This window comes from Homo sapiens, chromosome 6, assembly GCF_000001405.40.
Source record: "Homo sapiens chromosome 6, GRCh38.p14 Primary Assembly".
NCBI lineage: Eukaryota > Metazoa > Chordata > Mammalia > Primates > Hominidae > Homo > Homo sapiens.
In genome coordinates, this window is record NC_000006.12 from 163,841,484 (window position 1) to 163,863,994 (window position 22,511).

The 22,511-nt window shown below is 40.2% G+C and overlaps 1 annotated feature.

The window, feature by feature from the left end:
* Nucleotides 1,013-1,062: an enhancer, noted in NCBI's record as "active region_25425". NCBI's record gives its function as "activates an Ori minimal core promoter by ATAC-STARR-seq in GM12878 lymphoblastoid cells {active_cell/tissue: GM12878}" and the evidence as "EXISTENCE:reporter gene assay evidence [ECO:0000049][PMID:35858748]".

The window sequence follows — 22,511 nt, forward strand, 5'->3', positions numbered from 1 at the left end:
GATGACCCTGGAGGGTGTGATGACCCCATCTAGTGTGATGACTCTGGCTGGCATAATGACCCCAGCTGGTATGGTGACTCTGGCTGGTGTAATGACCCCAGCTGGTGAGATGACTCTGGCTGGTGTAAGGAGCCCAGCTGGTGTGATGACTCTGGCTGATGTAATGACCCCAGCGATAACTCTGGCTGGTGTAATGACCCCAGATGGTGTGATGACTCTGGCAGGCTGGCACGTGTGATGACTCTAGCACATGCGATGACCCTGGAGGGTGTGATGACCCCAGCTGGTATGATGATTCTGGCAGGCATGATGACTCTAGCAGGTGTGATGACCCTGGAGGGTGTGATGACCCCAGCTGGTGTGATGACTCTGGCTGGTGTAATTATCCCAGCTGTTGTGATGACTCTGGCAGGTGTGACGACCCTGGCTGGTGTGATGACTCTAACAGGTGTGATGACTCTGGCTGGTGTGATGACCCTGGCAGGTGTGATGACCCTGGCTAGTGTTATTTATGATTCTGGCAAGTGTGATGATTCCGGCCTGTTTGATGACTCTGGCTGGTGTAATTACCCCAACTGGTGTGAGAACCCTGGCTGGTGTGATGACCCTGGCTGGTCTGATGACCCTGGCAGGTGTGATGACTCTGGCAGGTTTGATGACTCTGGCTGGTGTGATGAGCCTGGCAGGTGTGATGACCCTGGCTAGTGTTATGATTCTGGCAGGTGTGATGATTCTGGCCTGTTTGATCAGACTCTGGCTGGTGTGATGATCCTGGCTGGTGTGATGGCTGTTTGGCCGGTATCCAACTCCCCTCATGTTCAGTGCAGCGGGTGCTCCCTTCACAAATGCCACTGGCTGGGCCACCAGTGAGCCTGTGCACAGTCAGCCTACATCCACCCCCCGCATTAGTGTTGTTGGTTCATGTCTCCCATTTGTTTCTAACCAAACATTAAGTGAGGGCTATTTGCCAGCAAGAAAATGGGTTTTCTTTTTTTCTCTTGCTACTTTTGCCCACCAAAAGAGGTATTGAGAACTTTAAAGTGACCAGAAAGTTCTCAGCAAAGGAAAAACTGAAGAGACTTCAAGCTCCACACAGCAACAGTTAGCATTAATGATTGGGAGCTGGTCATTCTCACCACCTGAGAACATGAAACAGCTTGATTAGTGACTCCCTTTGGTTGCCAGCTGTGGCTGACATCCTTGGTTACCTCCAATCTTGTTTTCATTATTTCAGTTCCTCACAAGGTAAGTTTTCACAGAATGGCTAGGGATATCTTTCTATCTACTAATTCTCTTCTATACTTTCTTGTAAATTCCACTTATTGAGACTTTATCATAGTTTCAGCCTATTTCAGGGATTTTTCTCTTTTTCCTTTTGTTCATTGTCTTCTTTCTCTTTCTCTGCCTCCTTTCCTCCCTTTACCCTTTTCCCGCCCTCCCTCCCTCTCTTAGAGCTGGAAATGGTGTTCTGTGCAGTGTGGGTTTTCAAAATGTTTACTAACTGGATTCATTTGCTCCACCCTTTATTATATCGTTTCCTGCACATGCTTGCCCAGAAAGTACCCTACACTTAAATATATCAACTTTTGGAGCCAAGAGACTAAATGCCACTATGACACTGATTTAACTTGATGAGAGAGTTGGAATGCTGAGTTCTCTGGATGGAAGGATGCCCCTGACTTTTCACGTGTGGAAAAGGACTATAGCAGCCGTTTAAATTAATGAAAAGGGAAAAGGCTGTGTGTGGTTTTCTGCAATGACCTTGTGTGTAGATACTGAGTTTTCACGGGATCTTTTGGGTGTGAGTTCATCCTTCTCTTCTTTGGTCTTGCTTTATATATCAGACAGCTATTCAAGACCTTCTCTAAAATAGGAACCAAGTCACTTGGAAGAGAAGCGTGTATTTTAATCAGTTGTGAGGAATGTGCTTCCATGGCACTGCCTAACTGAGGAGGTTGTGCTTCTGTTGTGATTCTCTCTCATTTTCTTTGTGTCTGTCACCTCATACATATTTACATTTCAGGATTTTGCTTGAAAGCTATGTTCTCCAGCAAGCTGTCTAGGTTACGTGGCACAAGAAAATCAGAGATTAAATTGGAATAAAGTCTATTTGGTGACTTATTTCAGGTACTGAGGCTCTTTTTCATATAGCTGTTAGGAAAGTTTTCTGCGTTCTGTTTGATCTGTTTCTTGCTTTGGAACCTCCACATATGTTGCCCCCCTTTTCTGAAGGGCACAGAAAAGTATAACCTGCTCCCACTAAGCCAGTTGCATAAATCATCTCTCTCAGAGTAAACCCACAGGGATTTCTTCTGCCTTGGATCCTGATCAGCAAGTTACAGAGTGGGGCTGGTATAATCAGTCATACACAGCATACAAGCCACTGGATACATTCTTTCACACTGTTTTAAAATCACGGTGCTTCACCTGAGGTCAGGAGTTTGAGACCAGCCTGACCAACATGGTGAAACCCCTTCTCTACTAAAAAAACAAAAATTAGGTGGGGATGGTGGTGTGCACCTGTAATCTCAGCTACTCGGGAGGCTGAAGCAGGAGAATTCCTTGAACCCGGGAGGCGGAGCTTGCAGTGAGCGGATATCGCGCCACTTCACTACAGCCCGGGTGAAAGAGCGAAACTCCATCTCAAAAAAAAAAAAAAAAAAAAAAAATAACGATGCTTTGTAGAAAATGGTTCTTGTTTCCTTTGATTCCAGGTGAAGTTTTATGCCATGGTTATAAAGCCGTGGGAAGTGGGTACCTTTAATGGAGATGTTTCCAAAACCTTAATTATCAAGGAACAAGGGGTTCTTAAGGTTTTGTAGGGTGGGAGTGAAGTGAGGAAAACATCACAGTGCATATGGAGGCACATTATCTGGGACCACGTTAGACACAGCTGAAATGCAGGTATGTGACTGGATATGCAACATAAATTCCATAATAAATGGAAATTGTATTTTTGAAACACTGAAAGGCGTAAGTGAATTAATCTTTTGGCTTTAACTCCATGGGCTGCGTCCTATTCTCGGCGGAGCTATACACTTAGTACTGAATGAGACAAAAGATAGGGAAGCCCTCTTGGCTGGCAGCCTTAAAATTAAGTGAGGATTGTTTTTGTCCCTGTAGAGATGGGAAGAGGAGTCTCTGAATGGCTACGCTTTATGTACAAAACCAAACCGGGGTGCTGTAATTTTATAAATTCTCAGGGTTTTCAAGCTCTTAAAGAGGTGTCAAAGGCAACATTATTCTGTAAGCATGCAATCATGGCTAGAATTTGTAATTTTATTTTATTTTTCACTCTATGTTTCATTTTACTTTATGTCATAAAATGCTGCTGGAGATCTCAGATTTCATCATTCTGCTAGTGATTGATCCTTTTCCCTTGGACTTTGAAGGTGAGAAGGGTAGGAGGTGCTGAATAACCAGACTCAATAGGGGAGATCCTGAAGGCCGCATGAGAGCCTGGGGCTTGAGCTCCTTGGCCTGCAGCAAAGCCTTTGCTCTTCTGGTTATAGCTGCCTAGTTCTGTACTGAAAAGAGATGCATGTAAGTTCAGAACAAATTGTAAAAATTAAATCTTGCTTAATAAAGGTTTCCATTTGGTATATTAGGGAGGTTGTGAAGGAATATTTGTGTATCTATATTTTATTTCCTTACGATGTGCCTTTACAGAAAACGTTTTTTCCATGGTTAACAAGTTGTTCCCTCCTGATATGTGTGTATGTTGTCACATGTACAGTAGGAGTGGAAGTACCTGTTCATTCAGCCAGGGAGCTCTGCCATTTAGATATAGAGCTGTGAGTTCACAATTCCTTACCTGAATTGTGTTTTATGCTGTTCAAAAGTTAGTGAGGTTCAAAGGTACCCTAATTAGAGACTTTTTAATGCATTATTGTAATGAACCTCCTCTATAGAAAATAAATAGGAATCTAAGTTTTCTTTTCCCTCAGTTGTGATGTGAACATTTACCTAAATGTAACTAGACGTTGACAAGCAATCTGTCAATTCTATTTTAAAACTAAAGAGAAACAATTTTTAAACCACCTTTTTGAGGTCTCATTGCCATATGGAAAACTGTACATATTCAATATCTATATCTCTATGAGTTTGAAGATGAATACACGCCTGTGAAACCATCACCCATCAAGGCCATAAACATCCATCACCTCCCAAATTTTCCTCCTGTTCCCTTTATTATGATTATTGTTTTCTGAGGCTTTTCTGTTGTTTATTTTTTGTTGTAAGAACAATTAACATAAAATCTATCCTTTTAAGAAATTCTAAGTATACAATACAGTGTTATTAGCTATAGGCACCATAGTAGATCACCAGAGCTTATTCATCTTACGTCACTAAAACTTTGTACCCTTTAACCATACATTCCCCATTTCCTCCCGCTCCTGAAGCTTCTGTTAATTACCCTTCTACTCTCTGCTTCTATGAGTTAGTTATTTTAGATTCCACATGTAATTGAGATTATATAGCATTTGTCTTTCTGTGTCTGGCTTAGTTTACTTAATATAATGCCTTAAAGGTCCATCCATGCTGTAGGAAATGGAAGGATTTTCTTCTCTTATAAGGCTGAATATTATTTCATTATATGTATATATCACATTTCCTTTATCCATTCTTAGTTTGTAGACATTTAGTTTGCTTCCATATAGGCTATTGTGATTAATGCTGCAATGAACATGGGAGTAGATATCTCTTAGAGATAATGGTTTTATTTCCTTTCGATATATACATAGAAGTGGAATTGCTGGATCATATGGTGGCTCTATTGTTCATTTTTAAAGGAACTTCCATTGGTTTTTTTTTTTTTTTTTTTTTTTTTTAGATGAAGTTTCGCTCTTGTTGACCACGCTGGAGTGCAGTGGCATGATCTCGGCTCACTGCAACCTCCACCTCCTGGGTTCAAGCGATTCTCCTGCCTCAGCCTCCCAAGTAGCTGGGATTACAGGCACGTGCCACCATGCCTGGCTAATTTTTGTATTTTCAGTAGAGAAGGGGTTTCTCCATGTTGGTCAGGCTGGTCTCGAACTCCTGACCTCAGGTGATCCAGGATTACAGGCATGAGTGTGGTGCCTGTAGACACTTAGACCAATGGAACAAAATTGAGAGCCCAGAAATAAATCCATACATGTACGGTCAACTAAGTCCATTGGTCTACAGGCACAGCCTCCATATTGTTTTTTATAATGGCTGTTCCAGTTTACATTCCCATGTGCTATGTGCAAGCATTCCCTTTTCTCCACATTCTTGGCAACACTTGTTATCTTTTTTTTTTTTAAATAGCCATTCTAACAGATGAGAGGTAATGTCTCATTGTGGTTTAAATTTGCATTTCACTGATGATCAGTGATATTGAGCATCTTTTCATATATCTGTTGGCCATTTGTATGTCTTCTTTTGAGAAATGTCTCTTACGGTCCTTTGCTCATTTTTTCAATTGGGTTATTTGGCTTTTTGCCATTCACTTTAATGAATTATTTGTATGTTTTGGATATTAACCCTTATCAGATATATGGTTCACGGATATATTCTCCCATTTTGTGGGCTACCTTTTTGCTTTGTTGATTGTCTCCCTTGTTCTGCAGAAGCTTCTTAGCTTGATGTAGTTCCACTTACTTATTTTAGCTTTTTCTTGGTCTGTGCTTTCAGTGTCATATCTGAAAAATTATTGCCAAGACCAATGCTAAGGAGCTATTTCCTCTGTATTTTCTCCTAGGAGTTTTATGGTTTCAGCTCTTAGGTTGAAGGCTTTAATCTGTTTTGAGTTGACTTTTGTATATGACATAAGGTTGCAGTTTTATTCTTTTGCATGTGGTTATCCAGTTTTCCTAACACCATTTGAAAAGACTATGCTTTGCCTATTGTGTCTTCTTGGAGCTCTTGTTGAAAATTAATTGACCATATATATACGGATTTATTTCTGGGCTGTCAATTTTGTTCCATTGGTCTAAGTGTCTGTCTTTATGTCAGTGTCATATTACTTTGATTACCTGGTGATATAATTTAAAATCAGTAAGTACAATTCCTCCAGCTTTCTTAGTCATGCTCAAGATAGCCTTGGCTATTTGAGATCTTTTGTGGTTCCATGTGAATCTTGGAATTGTGTTTTCTACTTCTGTGAAAAATGTCACTGGAATTTTAAATAGGGATTGCATTGAATTAGTAGATCACTTCAGATAGTATGGATATTTTAACAACATTGATTCTTTCATTCCATAAACATGGGATACCTTTTTAGTTATGTGCGGATACTTTTCTTTCATAAATGTGTTACATTTTCAGTGTATGGATCTTTCACCTCTTTGGTTAAATTTATTCTCAAATATTTTATTCCTCTTAATGCTATTTTAAATGGAATTGTTTTCTTAATTTCTTTATTTGATAGTTCATTGTTGGTGTATAGAAATAAAATTGATTTTGCCTGTTGATTCTGTATCCTGAAACTTTACTGGAGTCATTTATTAGTTTTAACAGTTTTGTGTGTGTGTGTGTGTGTGGTGTGTGTGTGTGTGTGTGGAGTCTTCAGGCCTTTCTATGTATAAGATTATGACTGCAAACAGAGACAATGTAACTCCTTCCTTTCTGACTTGAATGACTTTCATTGCTGTCTCTGACCTAGTTGTTCTTGTACTGGGACTTCTAGTACTAGGTTGAATATAAGTGGTGAAAATGGGCATCATTGTCTTGTTCTTGATTTTAGAGAAAAAGTTTTCAACTTTTCATTCTTGAGTATGATGTTACCTATGGGCTTGTCATACATGGCCTTTATTGTGTTGGGATATATTCATTCTATACCTAATTTGTTGAGAGTTTTTTATTATGAGAGGATGTTAAATTTTGTTAAATGCTATTCTGCATCTATTGAGATGATTATATAATTTTTATCTCTCATTCTATTAGTGTGATCTATCACATTTATTGATTTGTATATGTTGAACCATCCTTGCGTCTCAAAGATAGGCTCTCCTTGGTCATGGTGATGATCTTTTCAATGTCCCGTTGAATTCTGTTTGCTAGTCTTTTATTGAGGATTTTTGCATCTATGTTCATAAGGGATATTGGTCTTTTTTTCTTACAGTGTCCTTGCCTGGCTTTTGCATCAGGGTAATCCTGGCCTTGTAGAATGAGTTTGGAAGTATTCCCTTTTCAAATTTTTGGGGGAATTTGAGAAGCACTGGTGTTAATTCTTATTGAAATGTTGGTAGAATTTACCAGTGAAGCCATCTGGTTCTGGACTTTTCTTTGTTGGGAGACTTTTGATTAGTGATTCAATCGCCTTACTCACTATTTTTTTGTTCAGATTTTCTATTTCTTCATGGTTTAGTCTTGGTAGGTTGTATATTTCTAGGAATTTATCCATTTCTTCTGAGTTATTCAATTTGTTGCTGTATAATTGTTCATAGTAGTCTCTTAAAATCCTTTGTACTTCTGTGGTATCAGTTGTAATCTCTCTTCTTTCATGTCTGATTTTATTTATTTGAGTCTTCTCTGTTTTTTCTTAGTCCAGCTAAAGATTTGCCAGTTTTGTATTCTCAAAAAGCCAGCTCTTAGTTTGTTGATTTTTCTGTTGGTTTTCTAGTCTCTATTTTACTTATTTATGCTCTGATCTTTATCATTTTCCTCTATTAAATTTGGGCTTAGTTTGTTTCTCTTTTTCTCGTTCCTTCAGGTGTAAAATTTGATTGTTTCTCTGAAATCTTTCTTTTTTCTTAATGTAGGCATTTATTGCTACAAACTTCCTTTTTATACCTGCTTTTGCTGCATCCTATAAGTTTTGGTATTTTGTTTCCATTTTTGTTTGTTTCGAGATACTTTTCTGATTTCCCTTTTAATTTCTTTTTTTTGACTCATTGGTTATTCGGGAATGTATTGCTTAATTTCTACCTATTTATAAACTTTCCAAGTTTTCTCCTGTGATTGATTTCTACTTTTATACCATTGTGGTAAAGAAATCTGATATGATTTCAGTATTCTTAAATTGGTTAAGATTTGTTTTGTTGCTTAACATGTGATTTATTCTGGATAATGCTCCATGTGTGTTTGAGAATAATGTATATTCTGTTGCTGTTGGAGGGAATGTTCTGTATATGTCTATAAGGTCCATTTGGTCTATAGTGATGTTTGAGTCATTGCTTATTAAAAAGCTGTTTCTTAATTTGATTTTCTGTCTAGATTATCTATTCATTGTTGAAAGTGAATACTAAAGTTCCTTACTGTTACTGTATTGCTATGTATTTCTTCATTCAGTTCTGTTAGTATTTGCTTTATGTATTTAGGTGTTCTAATGTTGGGTGCATATATGTTTATAATTGTTATATCCTTTTGATGAATTGGCCCCTTTATCATTATATTATGAATTTATTTGTCTTGTGTGACAATTTTGACTTTAAGTTTTTCTTTTTTGATATAAGTATACCCACTTATGTTCTCTTTGGGTTACAATTTGCATGTAATATCTTTTTCCATCTTTTCAGTTTCTGCTTATGGGTGTCTTTAAATCTAAAGTGAGCCTTTTGTAGGCAGCATATAGTTGCCTCTTTAAAAAAATCCACTTAATCTCTCTATATCATTTGATTTGAGAATTTAATCTATTTATATTTTAAGTAATATTGATAGATAAGAACTTACTAGTGCCATTTTTGTTTATTATTTTCTAGTGGTTTTATATATCTTTTGTTTCTTCTCTTCCTTTGTGATTTGACTAGATTTTTGTAGTAGTATGCTTTGATTTATCTTTTCTGTATCTATTATAGATTTTTGATATGTCATTAACATGAGGCTTAACATGAAACATTATAGCTATACCAGTCTATTTTAAACAGTTAATTTAATTTTAATTGCATATGGAAATTCTACAGTTTTAGTCCTCCCTTTCACACATTTTATGTTATTACCTTCACAATTTACATCTTTTTATATTATGTATCTGTTAAAAATTATTGTAGGTATAGTTATTTTAATACCTTTGTCTTATAACTTTTATACTACTGCTAAAAGTGATTTATACACCACTATTATAGTATTAGAATATTTTGAATTTGTGTATATACTCACCTTTATCAGTGAGTTTTGTTCCTTCATATGTTTTCATGTTACTAATTAGTGTCTTTTTGTTTCAATTTGAAAAACTCCTGTTAGTGTTTTTTGCAAGGTAGGCCTAGTGGTGAACTCCTACAGCTTTTGTTTTTCTGAGAAGGTCTTTATTTCTTCTCCATTTTTTTTTTTTTGAGGCAGATTCTTGCTCTGTCATCCAGGGTGGAGTGCGGTGGCACTATCATGGCTCACTGCAGCCTCAACATTCCAGCCTCAAGTAATTCTCCCATCTCAGCCTTCCAAGAAGCTGGGCCTATAGGCATGCACCACAATGTCTGACAAACTTAAAAAACAATTAGTAGAGATGAGGTCTTGCTATATTGCCCAGGTTGGTCTCAAACTCCTGGGATGAAGCTATTATTCTGCCTTAGCCTCCCAAAGTGTTGGAATTACAGGTGTGAGCCACTTTGCATGGCCTCTCCTTCATTTTTGAAGGACAGATTTTCTGTACATAGTATTCTTGGTTGGTAGTTTTTTCATTCAGCACTTTGAATGTACTGGTTGACTTTGAACAACATAGGTTTGAACTATGTGGGTTCCCTTGTATGCAGATTTCCTTCTACCTCTTCCATCCCTGAGACAGCAAGACCAACCTTTTTGTTTCCTCCTCCTCCTCAGGATACTCAGCATCAAGATGACAAGGATGAACACTTTTATAATGATCCACTTCTACTTAATAAATAATAAATGTACTTTTTCTTTGTTATGATTTTCTTAATAACATTTTCTTTGCACTAGTTTACTCTATCATAAGAAAACAGTATATAATGCATATAGCTTATAGAATATGGATTAAATAACTGTAATGTCATTGGTTAACACTTTAGGTCAATAGTAGGCTACTAGTAATTAAGTTTTGGGGGAATCAACAGTTATACATGAATTTTTGACTGTGTAGGGGGTTAGTGTTCCTAACCCCCATGTTGTTTGAGGGTCAACTGTATTATCCATCTAATCTGCAATGTTTCTGCTGAGAAAATGTACGGATAGTCTCATGGAGGTTCCCTTATATGTGCCAATTTGTTTTTCTCTTGCTACTTTCAAAATTCCTTCTGCATTTGACTTTTGGCAATTTGATTATAGCGTGTCTAACTGAAGACCTTTCATGCTCAACCTATTTGAAGTTTTCTGTGCTTCATGGATCTGGACATTCATTTTCTATATTTGGGAAATTCTCTGCAATTATTTCTATAAATAAGCTTCTATGCTTTTCTTACTCCTGTCTCCTTCTGGAACTCCCATAATGTGTATGTTGGTTTGGTCAATTGTGTCCCATGTATCCCATAGGTTTTCTTTTTTATTTTCTTTTTGTTTCTCTGACCGGATAATTTTGAATGATCTGTCTTTGAGTTTATTGAATCTTTCTTCTGATTGATTGAGACTGCTGTTCAAATTCTTTACTGCATTTTTTAGTTCAGACACTATATTCTTTAGCTATAGAATTTCTGTCATGTACTATTTTCCTGAATTCAGTTAGTTGTCTATATGTTCTTTTGTAGCTCACTGAGCTTCTTTAAAATGATGATTTTGTATTATTTGTCAGGAATTTCACAGATATCCATTTCTTCAGTGTTAGCCACTGGAGCTCTATTTTGCTCCCTTGGTGGTGATATGTTTCCTTGATTCTCTGAAGACTTATACTGCTGTCTTTGCATTTGAAGAAGCAGTCACCTTCTCCAGTCTTTACTGACTGGCTTCATGAGAGAAAGATCTTCACCAGTGGGCCTAGATAGTGATTCTGGGGGTCTTTAAAGCTTTTCTATGTGTGTGCCTATTCCACTTTTCTTGTTCATTCTTATGGGGGAATCTTAAGAGATTGTGTTCCTTTTCTCATTCCCATAAAGCCAGGCCTCACAAAGTTGTGAGTCTGCTATTTATTTTCTCTAGGGCAGTACCCTGAAGTGTTCTTCAGGGAACAAAACTGCGTTCCTTCTCCTAAACCAGCAGATTTGAGCTGGATGCTAAGAGCCACACCTCTGTTGATACCCAGCATGCTGTCTGTGGGAGCTTACATGGGGTGTTCACAGAGCACATGGGGTGCTGTGCACAGGGGACTGCCACTTTATGGAGTCCATGAGCTGGTTAACAGGATCTGTGGCCAGCTGTTGAGAAATGTACCGGTTGCTATATGCTGCTCCCTGCCACCTTGTTTCTAGCTGCCCCCAGACGATTCAGCCATGCCAGTCCCCTCAGTGTTCTGGGTGGAGGAGACAGAAATGAGCATGCTGGGTGCATCCTGCAAGGCTTGGGAAGCCAGCTGCTCACTTTGCTCTCATTTTCCACTGTGGGAGATATTGTGGGCTGAGGAAGTCTCTTTCAGCACCAGGCCATGCTGAGTGTGATAGGGGTAAAGTGAAACTACTCTTCTTACCCTTTTTAATGCATTCACTTACCTCAAATTTTTTGTTCCACTGGGGTGCTGGAACCTCTCAGCTAGATTCTGGGACTTTCCGAAGGCATTCTTGTCCATGGATGGTTGCTGAAACCAGTGCTTCTGTGGGGCCATAAGGGCTGGATCCTCCCATGTTGCCATTTTACTAACATTACTAACAATTTCTTAATTATTAAAAGAATATGTCACAGAGCAGAGTTTGGAAAATTTTAAGTGACAGAACTCCATTTTAAAATCAAATACCACATGTTCTCCCTCATAGGTGGGAATTGAACAATGAGAACACTTGGACACAGGGCGGGGAACATCACACACCGGGGCCTGTCGTGGGGTGGGGGGATTGGGGAGGAATAGCATTAGGAGAAATACCTAATGTAAATGACGAGTTAATGGATGCAGCACACCAACATGGCACATGTATACCTATGTAACAAACCTGCACGTTGTACACATGTACCCTAGAACTTAAAGTATAATTTAAAAAAAGTAAATAAAATAAAATAAATATGGATTTTTTGCAATTGAATGAATTGTGTCTACCCCAAGATCATCTGTTGAAGCCCATCCCCCCAATGTGATGGTAATAGGAGATGAGGCCTTTGGAGAGTAATTAGGTTTAGATGATGTCATGAGGGTGGGTCCCCCATGATGGCATTATACTCTCCCTATAGGAAGAGGAAGAGAGACCAGAGCTGTCTCTCTCTTCCTGCCATGTGAGGACACAGTGAGAAGGCAGTCTGTGTCTTCTACAAGCCACGAAGGAAGTCTTCACTGGAACCCAACCATGCTGGCATCCTGACCAGAAACTGGGTGGCTTAAACAACAAAAGTTTATTTTCTGACAGTTTTGGAGGCTAGAAATCCCAGATCGAGATGATATGAGGGTTGGTGTTGGCGATTCCTCTATTTTTGGCTGATAGATGGCCACCTCTTGTTGTGTTCTCACATGACCTCTGTTCTGTGAGTGTGTGGGAGATTGCTCTCTGGTCTTTCTCTTCCTGTAAAGACACCAATCCTATTCAATTAGGGCTTCACCCTATGACCTCAGTTAACCTTCATGCCCTTCCTAAAGACCCCATCTCTAAATATAGTCACATGGGGAGTGAGGGCTTCATATGAACTTTGTGAAGACCCAATTCAGTCCGTAACAGGGGTAAGCAAATATTTAATTCATAGAATTGATGTGACGTTTACATGGTTAATACATAAGAAATGCTTGAAACAGTGCCTTGTAGAGTGTAAGTGCTTAATAATTGTTAGTTGTTTTTATTATTAGAAAATCGTGGCTTTTTTTAAAAAGTCTGATCCATATTGATAGTGCCCAAACTTTGGAAAGAGGTGGATAATTTCATGTGGTTTTACTCAGCACTATCTTAGCAGACAGAGGTCCAAGTTAGTTCCTTCTGTCCTGCAACCTGAGCCTTAACACCCCTGGGACCCTCATGGAAGTGGAGGCCAGTGGAGCTGCTCCACACCTTGAGAGCTGAGTGTGCAATTCTCTGCCTGTCAGTTTTCACTCTTCTAACCAAGAAGGTCTGCTGAACATGATGAGGAGGTGAGTTTCATGTTTGGCTTGTCCCAGTCCAGATCTGCAATTTCAGTTTTGGCAGAACAAGGCTGGTCTAAGACAGCTGGGAGCAAAAAATTCATGCACCAGTTTGGGGGCAGAAGCTGGGTTCCATTAATCTCTGCAGTCTGGGTGACCGTCTCAATGCCTAGGAAAGCAGAGAGTGTGTCAATAAATATTTGTTGAATGAATATATAATGAGTGAATGGTGGTTGAATAGTGCCTTTCTTTTAAAGATTGGTGAGATACAAAGGTTTGTCTGTAGCCTCTTTTCTCCCAAAAAAAAAAGTAAGAATAGAAAAGAAAGAAGGCAGAAAGACAAAAAAGAAAAAGAAAGAAAAGAAGAAAGGGAGAAAAAAGGAAGAAAATAGGAAGGCAAGAAGAAAGGAAAGAAGGAAGAAAAGGAGGAGGGGGAAAAGAGGAAGGGAGGGAGGAACACAGCTGTCTTAGAATTTGGGAGGAACACAGCTGTCTTAGAATTTGGGAGGAACACAGCTGTCTTAGAATTTGCCACTCTGGAACCTGGCTGTCATGGGCTTACACTTGCCTCACTTATCATATATGTCACCCAATTAATTATTTTCTACTTTGACATCCACTCTTGTATGCCCCCTGGGCTGTGCTGAGACTGGCTCCACCCAGATCTTTTTGACAAGGAAGACTGCCTGACTCCAGTTGAAAGGTGTGAGAATATACAATGTAGAAAATTAATCAGCCAAGGCAGGAAAAAAAAAATAGATGGAGAAGGAAAAGCTTCTTTGCTGTTTCCATTAGCATCCTTTCATTCCTCTTTCCTTATGCTTCTCTTGGACTTTTTCTAATTGTAGAACGCTTGGTGCAGAAGAAAACAGCAGTCAGAAGAGTCGACAGAAGAGTGAAGTTGGGTGCTAGTCAGGCCTGGTGATTTATGTGCCCATCTGCACGGGTTTGAATCTCTATTCAGGCACATAGTGAATTGAGGCCAGGTGGCCAAGGCCCTAGGGCAGATTGGGCAGGTAGACTTAAAGCACAGACACAAACTCGCAGACATTTACATATGTGCATGACTTTGAGAAACTTCCTTGGAGGCGGGGTAGAAAGAGTGCATTCTAGAAAGCGAGGGACTCAGGTTCAAGACTAATGCTCTTTTTGTGGCCTTTGCATGTAACATGATTTCTCAGTTTTCTCACCTGAGATAAAAATGTTGATCATCTCCAAGGACACTTGCAGCCCCTATGCTCCATAATTATGCCATGCTATTTTACCCTTCCACTGAAGGAACTTCACCACCCCCAGCAGCCGGGGATGGCAGGCAGGTTGCTAAGCCCCCACCTTCAGCCTTCCTTGGGCTGCAAAGGACCTTGTAGACAGCCCAGGCAATGAAATACTGCTCCCCCAAATAATGCAAGTTAGCAACAAAATCAGGGGAACAAAAACCTATATTGTATGCTAAGGGGCTGAGGTATCTAAAACTAAGAAAAGGGCCTTGAAGAATTGGAAATGGAAGCCCCACAGATCACGGGAGCGAGGAACATTGGGGTTCTGTTCCCATAACAGAGCTCATCCCTCCACACAGCGTGTGTGGGGGCGTTCAGATAACCCCGGCAGGTCAGACCTCCTAGATTACTACTGGCCAGGACCAGAATTTAGACAAGTTGTTGGAACACAGAAAAGCAATTTGGTATTGAAGGGTATTAAAATTACCAGTAGCTTTTAAAAATTCCTCCCCAAAATGAATAATAAAAACATTTTGGCCATTTGGTCATAAATAGAGCAGTTCAATAGCACAAGAAATCACGCCGACAGTGCAGGGAGACATAAAGGCTCTGAATTATGTATTAATATGTCACGTGAGAAGAAAAAGTGCTAAAGAAATAGTGTAAGAAAAATAAATAAAGCCACATTAAAAGTGAACGTGTCCCATTTGGTCAGTTATGTCAAACGTAAAACAACAAAAAGCCCCGTTTGGAAGTTAACATTTTTAATTTCACTGCTGCCTTCTCCATTATAAACTGTACTGAGGTGTGAATAGACCCTGGGCTGAAACATTGATTTTTATGTCTACATTGAATATAAATACATTTTTAAAGAATGTGCAAGGTAGGACATGTATAAAAATATTAAATTGGAACTGACAGTCCTCTTGCCATCATTATTTCCTTCAAGAAAGACCACATTTTACTGGGACCTCTGATCAGCAGGTGCTTGGAGGACCTGACCCCAGGCTCTGATCTAGAATGGACTGTTCTGAATATGCCTAACTTGGGCCTTAATTTTCTTGTCTGTGAGGTTAGTGTTAGGTATATTTTCTTATTTATTATTATTAACGATAGCAACAACACAATTACCGCTCCTGTAAAGAAGTGCATTTATTGAAGTAAATACCCCCATATATTCAGAGACAAAGTCCAAAATACTAGGCTAGGGCTCCACATTTTCTGGAAATTTAGAGCCTGCTTTTTACAACATTGTCTTGAAGAACCACACAAATCTCATACATTTAACTTTGCTGTGTTTGCTTGTGCGTTTGGGTAAATCACTAAAATTTTCTGTTTTGTATTTCAAGGAGAAAATAAATGTCACATGAATAGGAAGAATGCCACATTTTGAAATACAGAGTTCAGTTGCTGTGGGGATGAGAATAAGGGGATTAAGGCCCAGGGGATGCATAGATGAGGGTCTTCATTGCTCCTTAGCCTTGAGCTCCTCTTCCCCACACCCAATCCCTGTTTTTCTTCCCATCTCAGCCAAACTCTGATGTGCAGAGCTAGGAGGAACTAGGAGGGTTTGGCTGATAAGGGCTGTAAATAATGTACACCTCTGCTGTTGTCCATATTATATTGGGGTGACATTCCATCTCCATGTATTGATGGCTTAGATTTCATTATAGATTTCTTTTACACTGGAAGCTTGAGTACTACTCTGGGAAGTTGCTGGTATTGAATATACTACCTTATACTATACTTATGCTAAGCTTTTCTATTCTATCTGCAGGATACTATAATACTGATATGGTGAAAGTTGTAAATGCCATTCACATTTTTGTGAACCTCTATCATTTACCAAGCACATCCACAGGCATTATTATCTTATTTTGATTGGGAAACTTACAGGACTCCAGTGAGGCTGTTGAGGCAGGAATGCTTGAGGAGATTCTTTGTAGCTGAGGTTTACACTTCCACTTAAAAAATAAGCAAACAGGCCAGGTGCAGTGGCTCACACGTGTAACCCCAGCACTTTGGGAGGCTGAGGTGGGCAGATCACCTGAGGTCAGGCATTCGAGACCAGCCTGGCCAACATGATGAAACCCTGTCTCTACTAAAAATACAAAAATTAGCCAGGCATGGTGGTAGGCACCTGCAATTCCAGCTACTCGGGATGCTGAGGCAGGAGAAACGCTTGAACCTGTGAGACAGAGGTTGCAGTGAGTCGAGATCGTGCCATTGCACTCCAGCCTGGGCAACAAGAGTGAAACTCCATCTTAAAAAAAAAAAAAAAAAGGCAAACAGTTGGTATTTACCCCATGTTATTTTGTAGTTATACCAAGGTTAGTAATTTCCATTTCAATTTGTTACAGAGGCATTGATGGACTTCATTTAGGCTTTGAATTCTCATTACCACATAGAATTACTCACGTTCAAGTTAGCTGCATATGGAATAAGGACAAGTGGTTAATCTGAATGGCCAGCCCCCAGTGGACAAGCTGTGCCTCTTTCCTAGGCAATATTCTTAAGGACTAACGATGTTGAGTAGAAAGTATATGAGCTTCACAGGATTGGTTTCAACACCTAGTTTACTTGCTCAAATCCTTGCAATCCACTAGTACATCAGAACAGGGGAAAGTCAACTCAACCTTTGGTCCAGATTGGAATAATCAAAAATACCTACGTTTTAGTTTTGGTTTAAAATCAAGACCCAGAAATACTTGTTGGAGGTAGCAACAGGGCTGTTGAAGGAAGATTAGAATTGGAAGAGGGATATTTAAGTTTTCCCATTATATGTTAGCTTTGAGGCATTGGATAGGTCACCTGACCTCTGTATTAGTCAGTTTTCTTCTCTGTGAAATAGGACAATAAAATCGTCCTGGTTATGAAAACCTTTGTGGTCATGGGTGACAGGATCAAATGAGAAAACACATGTGAAATCCTTCTGTAAAGTATGGCACCTGAAAGAAGTGTTAATTGCTATTACCAAGGCCATGCCAGGGCTGAAGGTGAGAAATATATCAACAAGAGATGCAAACAGGGAAATGAAGTGAGCTCCCTAATGATCTGATACGACAAACACATTGCTTTCATTACCTTTATTTACATTTGACTCATGTGACTGTTACTAAGCCAGCCTTCTTGTTACCTGGCCCATATGGTTTGGCTGTGTCCCCATCCAAATCTCATCTTGAATTCTCATGTGTTGTGGGAGGGACCCACTGGGAGGTAATTGAATCATGGGGGCAGGTCTTTCCCTTGCTGTTCTCATGATAGTGAATAAGTCTCATGAGATCTGATGGTTCTTATATAAGGGGGAGTTTCCCTGCACGAACTCTTTTTGCCTGCCGCCATCCATGTAAGACGTGACTTGCTCCTCCTTGCCTTCTGCCATGATTGTGAGGCCTCACCAGCCATGTGGAACTGTAAGTCCATTAAACCTCTTTCGTTTCTAAATTGCCCAGCCGTGGGTATGTCTTTATCAGCAGTTTGAAAACAGACTAATACACTGGCCAAATCCCTTTTCTCTCTTTTGAGAAACACTGAATGCAAAGCTTTATATTCTTATAAATCTAGTTAAATAAATATATCTTATAAACAAATACACCCACACACATTTACCTGGGCAACTGATTCAATGGATATCACTATTTATTGATATGTTCATATTGCTGGGGTCTTAGGACAAATTCTGAACCACTTGTCATGTTTGCCACTATTTTAACAAACAGGATAAATAGATAAATAATTGAATTGTTCTTTGAAGTATTTTCCTTGGATGAAATGTTATTACCTAGATAGTGCAGAGCCTCCGTGGATTCTTTCAGGCTTATTTATTTATTTTATAATGCCACTGCTACTGCCATAACAGGTGTGTTTGTGAAATAGTAAAATTGCAGTTAGACAAGTAGGTTAAGTAGATAACTGTCTTAGTGTGGCCTCCGAACTATAGCGAATGCTGCAATATCCAACACACCCAAGCAAAATCCAAATTTGTCAAGATGGAGGAAATTGGTAGCAATTGCATCAAATGCTCATTTATTTTTGTATCAAATGTAGTGTTGAGTGTTTTGCCCAAGATAAAGAAAACATCAGTACTAATGACTGACGTTAATCATTCTGTCATCTCTTTGATGCTCTCCTAGAAGAGGGAGAAATGCAAAATAAAATTTGTGCAGTTGTAACAAAAAAGCAAGTGCTTCATCTGAAGTTTTGTTCACCCAAGAAATATCCTGAAAGTTTCATTTAGCTGACTAAAGAGAAAATGTAGTAAATAACTAAAGGAAAATTACTAAGAAATGCTTAAAGAAGGCTTAGGTTAGCTGCTTGGGGACTAGCAAAATAGCAATTAAGTTTATAGAATGAAGGGATTAAAAGTAACGTGAATGAAAAGTAGAAGGAAATGAACTCCGTTCTAATCTCTAAAACTGGCTTAAATAAAATGCTCATTATAGGGTGGGTTTATGAGGCACACCAGAAGCTGCAAGGATTAGGATGCATGGATTTAAAAGCTAGGAATCTACTTTTGACGATGCTGACAAAATGCTATGAGTGGGTTCCTTTCTCGGGTGTCTCTCCAGGCTGTGCAGCAGGAATTCTATTTGAAACCAGGTTACTTTTCAGTTTTGTCATCAGTATTAAGAATTGTTTTCAACTGATGCATTCGTGGGTCAAAAACCACAAAAATCTGCATATATAGCTTATGTTTATTTTTAGAATTCTCTTCATATTAGAAAATTGTACCAAACAGGATACTGCAAAAATCATTCCTGAAATAGTTACTGCAATTTGGGAATGGAAAGTAAATGAATAACCAAATGTACCTCTAATCTTAACTGGAAGGCATTTCCATAATTGACGCTCCCAGAACCTTCTGTGAGTGATGGGCTTGAGAGCTGAGGGATTTGACTTGAAAAGGCTCTGACACTGAATGATTTATGGCCGTGTTCCTCCCTGAGCCAGCGCCCAGTATCTGCTCTGCACAGAACATGACCAGGGCTACAGGGAGCGGAAACCTCATTTAGTTATACAGGAAGCCTAAACGATGCGGCACTTCAAAGATCACTGGGATCTTAATGGGAAGCCGGCACTCCCCAGAGCAGCAAGTGAGGGCAGGAGGCCCCCAGGGAGGTGTTCTGGACCACGGTTTATCTGCTCCCAGGCTGGGGCGCTGCCTCCCAGAGATGGAACTATCTTGACTAAGCCTGGAGAAAGGATCCCCTTATCTGGCAAATGCTATTGCTTTCTGTGTGTAGCTGTTTTGTCGTCTTGAATATTTCATCACTCTGCAATCATCTTCCCTTTGGTTGGCTAAGCACTCTTATTAGGCAAACCCCTTGGTGCTGAAAGATCTGAAGCCTACTCACCACTCTGTAAAATCTTCATTTCTGGTATAGAGAGAAATTTCTGCCTTGTGAGAATATATTGGCCGCATGTGGCATAACTGAAACAACTTCAAAATTGGTGACGATTCTACCACTTCCAGAAATCAGTAATTGAATAGAGAGTAAAGCAATTAGACTAGCAGACACAACTGGATTCAATCATTTGATCATTGGATCATTGATAATTTGGAATATGTATTAAATCCAACACCGTCAGAACCAAGTTCATCTTTGTACAATCTGTAATAAGAGGACTTGCTCAGTGGATAAGCCAAGCTTACCTGGGGAATGGTTAAACGCCAAGGAAAGGAAAGGTTTTGAAGTACTCACGCAGCATCCATTCAGGTAGCAGAGCCTATATGAAATTCTGCTAGTGAATACTTTTTAAACTATGTCAGGATTATTTTGTTATCTAAGAGCTATGAAATTGTTTTTTCTTAAAGTTCGAATTAATGAAGTTTCACTGAATTAATAATAAAATCTATACCAGTTTTAGGCACACTTGTATAATGAACTTAAATAGTTTCTTATACCATCGAGATCAATTTTTAACAAAAAGAATGCATATTTGTCTCTCGTTTAGTCTGTTTTATCAAGGCGAGGCGCATAAATGGGCTCTTCCTCCTGCTGGTTTGCACAGCTCCTCTTTCTCTTCGACACCCCCACGTCCTGGCCAAGCAGATGGGCATCCCACACTTCCAGTCTCATTCCAAGATGCTGTAGGCCACATGGCAATCTTGCATTCTCCTGGCTTATGTGTTCCAGAAGTCTAGACACTTGGCAAAGGCCCTTCAAGTGTGGAAAAGTTACACGGGGGAAACGCCCTGAGTCAGAAATGGCTTCCCTTCTTCAGCTGAGATTTTTGTGGACTGAACTTGTGAGATGCAGCTGAAGTGAAGAAAGCCATGATGTTGGGAGGGTCCAGAGAGAGGCTCAGGGAAGTGTGAGGAGTGTGGGAGCAACAGAATATCCCTCTCCCCCGACCTGCCACCGGCCCTGCATCTGATTCCATAGAAGGAGCAACACTCTGGAGAGGGGATGGAGTGGACACTCTGGATGGAGGGGATGGAGGAGGGAGGAGGCATTGCCGGGAAGCATGTCCCCAGCGTGGCACAGAAACCAGGCACGAACCTGGTGCTTAGGGAGTCCGAGGAAGCAGAGGGAGCCTTCGGCCCTCAGGGGCAGGAAGATGACAATGAAGAGGGCTCAGTGGAGACTCCGGTGGATCAATGACTGAAGTTCACATGGGACAATCGATGGCACAGAAGATGGCCCTTTGGATAGAAAACATTAAAGATAAAAATCTAGCTCCCCACCCAACCCAGAAATAAAAGCTCTTTGCACTATGCGAGCCCTTGAAATCAGGACGCCACATGGGAAGACAGTTGAGGGTTCATTGATTTGTCTAAGCTGTAAAAACTTTAGCTGATATTAAGTTGTAAAAACTGTGATGGTTCTACATAAATATATCTATATTTTATATATATATTTCATATATATGTATTTCCTATTAGTTCTGTCCCCTAACAGAACCCTGACTAATACAGAAACATTCTTTTGAAAAATTACAATTCTTTACATCTGAGTTTTATGGGTTGAGATGCAGAAGTGTTAAAGATGCCTACAGTTGAGTGATTTCAAATAGACTACTGTGTTTCTGCCTTCATAGGAATTAAATTATGTCCCCACAAGTGATATGTTGGAGTCCGGAGACCCCAGAATGTGGTCAGAATGTGACTGTATTTGGAGACAGGGCCTTTGCAGAGGGAATCAGGTTACAATGAAGTCCTAATGAATGATGTGGCGGGGAGTCGGGGTGGGGTGGGGGTGGTATGTGTGTGTGTGTGCTTAATCCAGTGTGACTGGTGTCCTTGTAAAAAACAGAGAAAATTTAGATGATAGGGAAGAGAACCAGAACCGATGCTCCCTCGCAGCCTCAGAAGGAACCAACCCTGCAGACACCTTGATCTTGGACTTTGAGCTTCCAGAGCTGAGACAGTAAATTTCTGTTGTTCCGGCCAGGTTTTCAGGATTCACTGTTTTTCTCTGACTAGGTCACCAAATGAGGACTATTTATTTATTTATTTATTTATTTATTTATTTATTTTCCAGATGGAGTCTCACTCTGTCACCCAGGCTGGAGTGCAGTGGCGCGATCTCCGCTCACTTGCAACCTCTGCCTCCAGGGTTTAAGCGATTCTCCTGCCTCAGCCTCCCGAGTAGCTGGGATTATAGGTGCATGCCGCCACACCTGCCTAAGTTTTTTGTATTTTTGGTAGAAACGGGGTTTCATCGTATTGCCCAGGCTGGTCTCAAATTCCTGAGCTCAGGCAATCCACCCGCCTTGGCCTCCCAAAGTGCTGGGATTACAGGCATGAGCCACTATGCCCGGCTGAGGATGTATGATTTTTTGAATAACTGTCATTCGTCCACTCCACACTCATGGGGAGATAGAAGAGTGTTGCGGTCACAGCAATGGCAGAGCAGTTTTGTGGCTCAGGCTCCTTCCCCAATTTTGGGTTTCCCTGAGAGTCACATGGCTGGGTGATCTAAATCCTCCTGGTCCTGGGGCAGGGGTTTGCCTCTGCCACCCTGCAGGTGCAGGGCCACTGTCCCACTGTGCTGCTGTTGTCTGGCCACCTGCAGTCACAGTGCCGGCATCCAGGACGCCCTCCCCCTCTCGCTTTGACATCAGGAGAGGGGCTGCCTCCAGAGCCTTGGGAGAAGGCCACTCCTACGGCCCAGAGCGGCTGCTTTGTTGTGCCAGCAAGTGTTCCCCAAAAGGCAGGGACAATGGCCTTACTCACCTGTGAAATTCTGTTCTGGACCAGCATTGTCCAACAGGAATATAACGAGAGACATAAATTTAAAGTTTTGTACTAA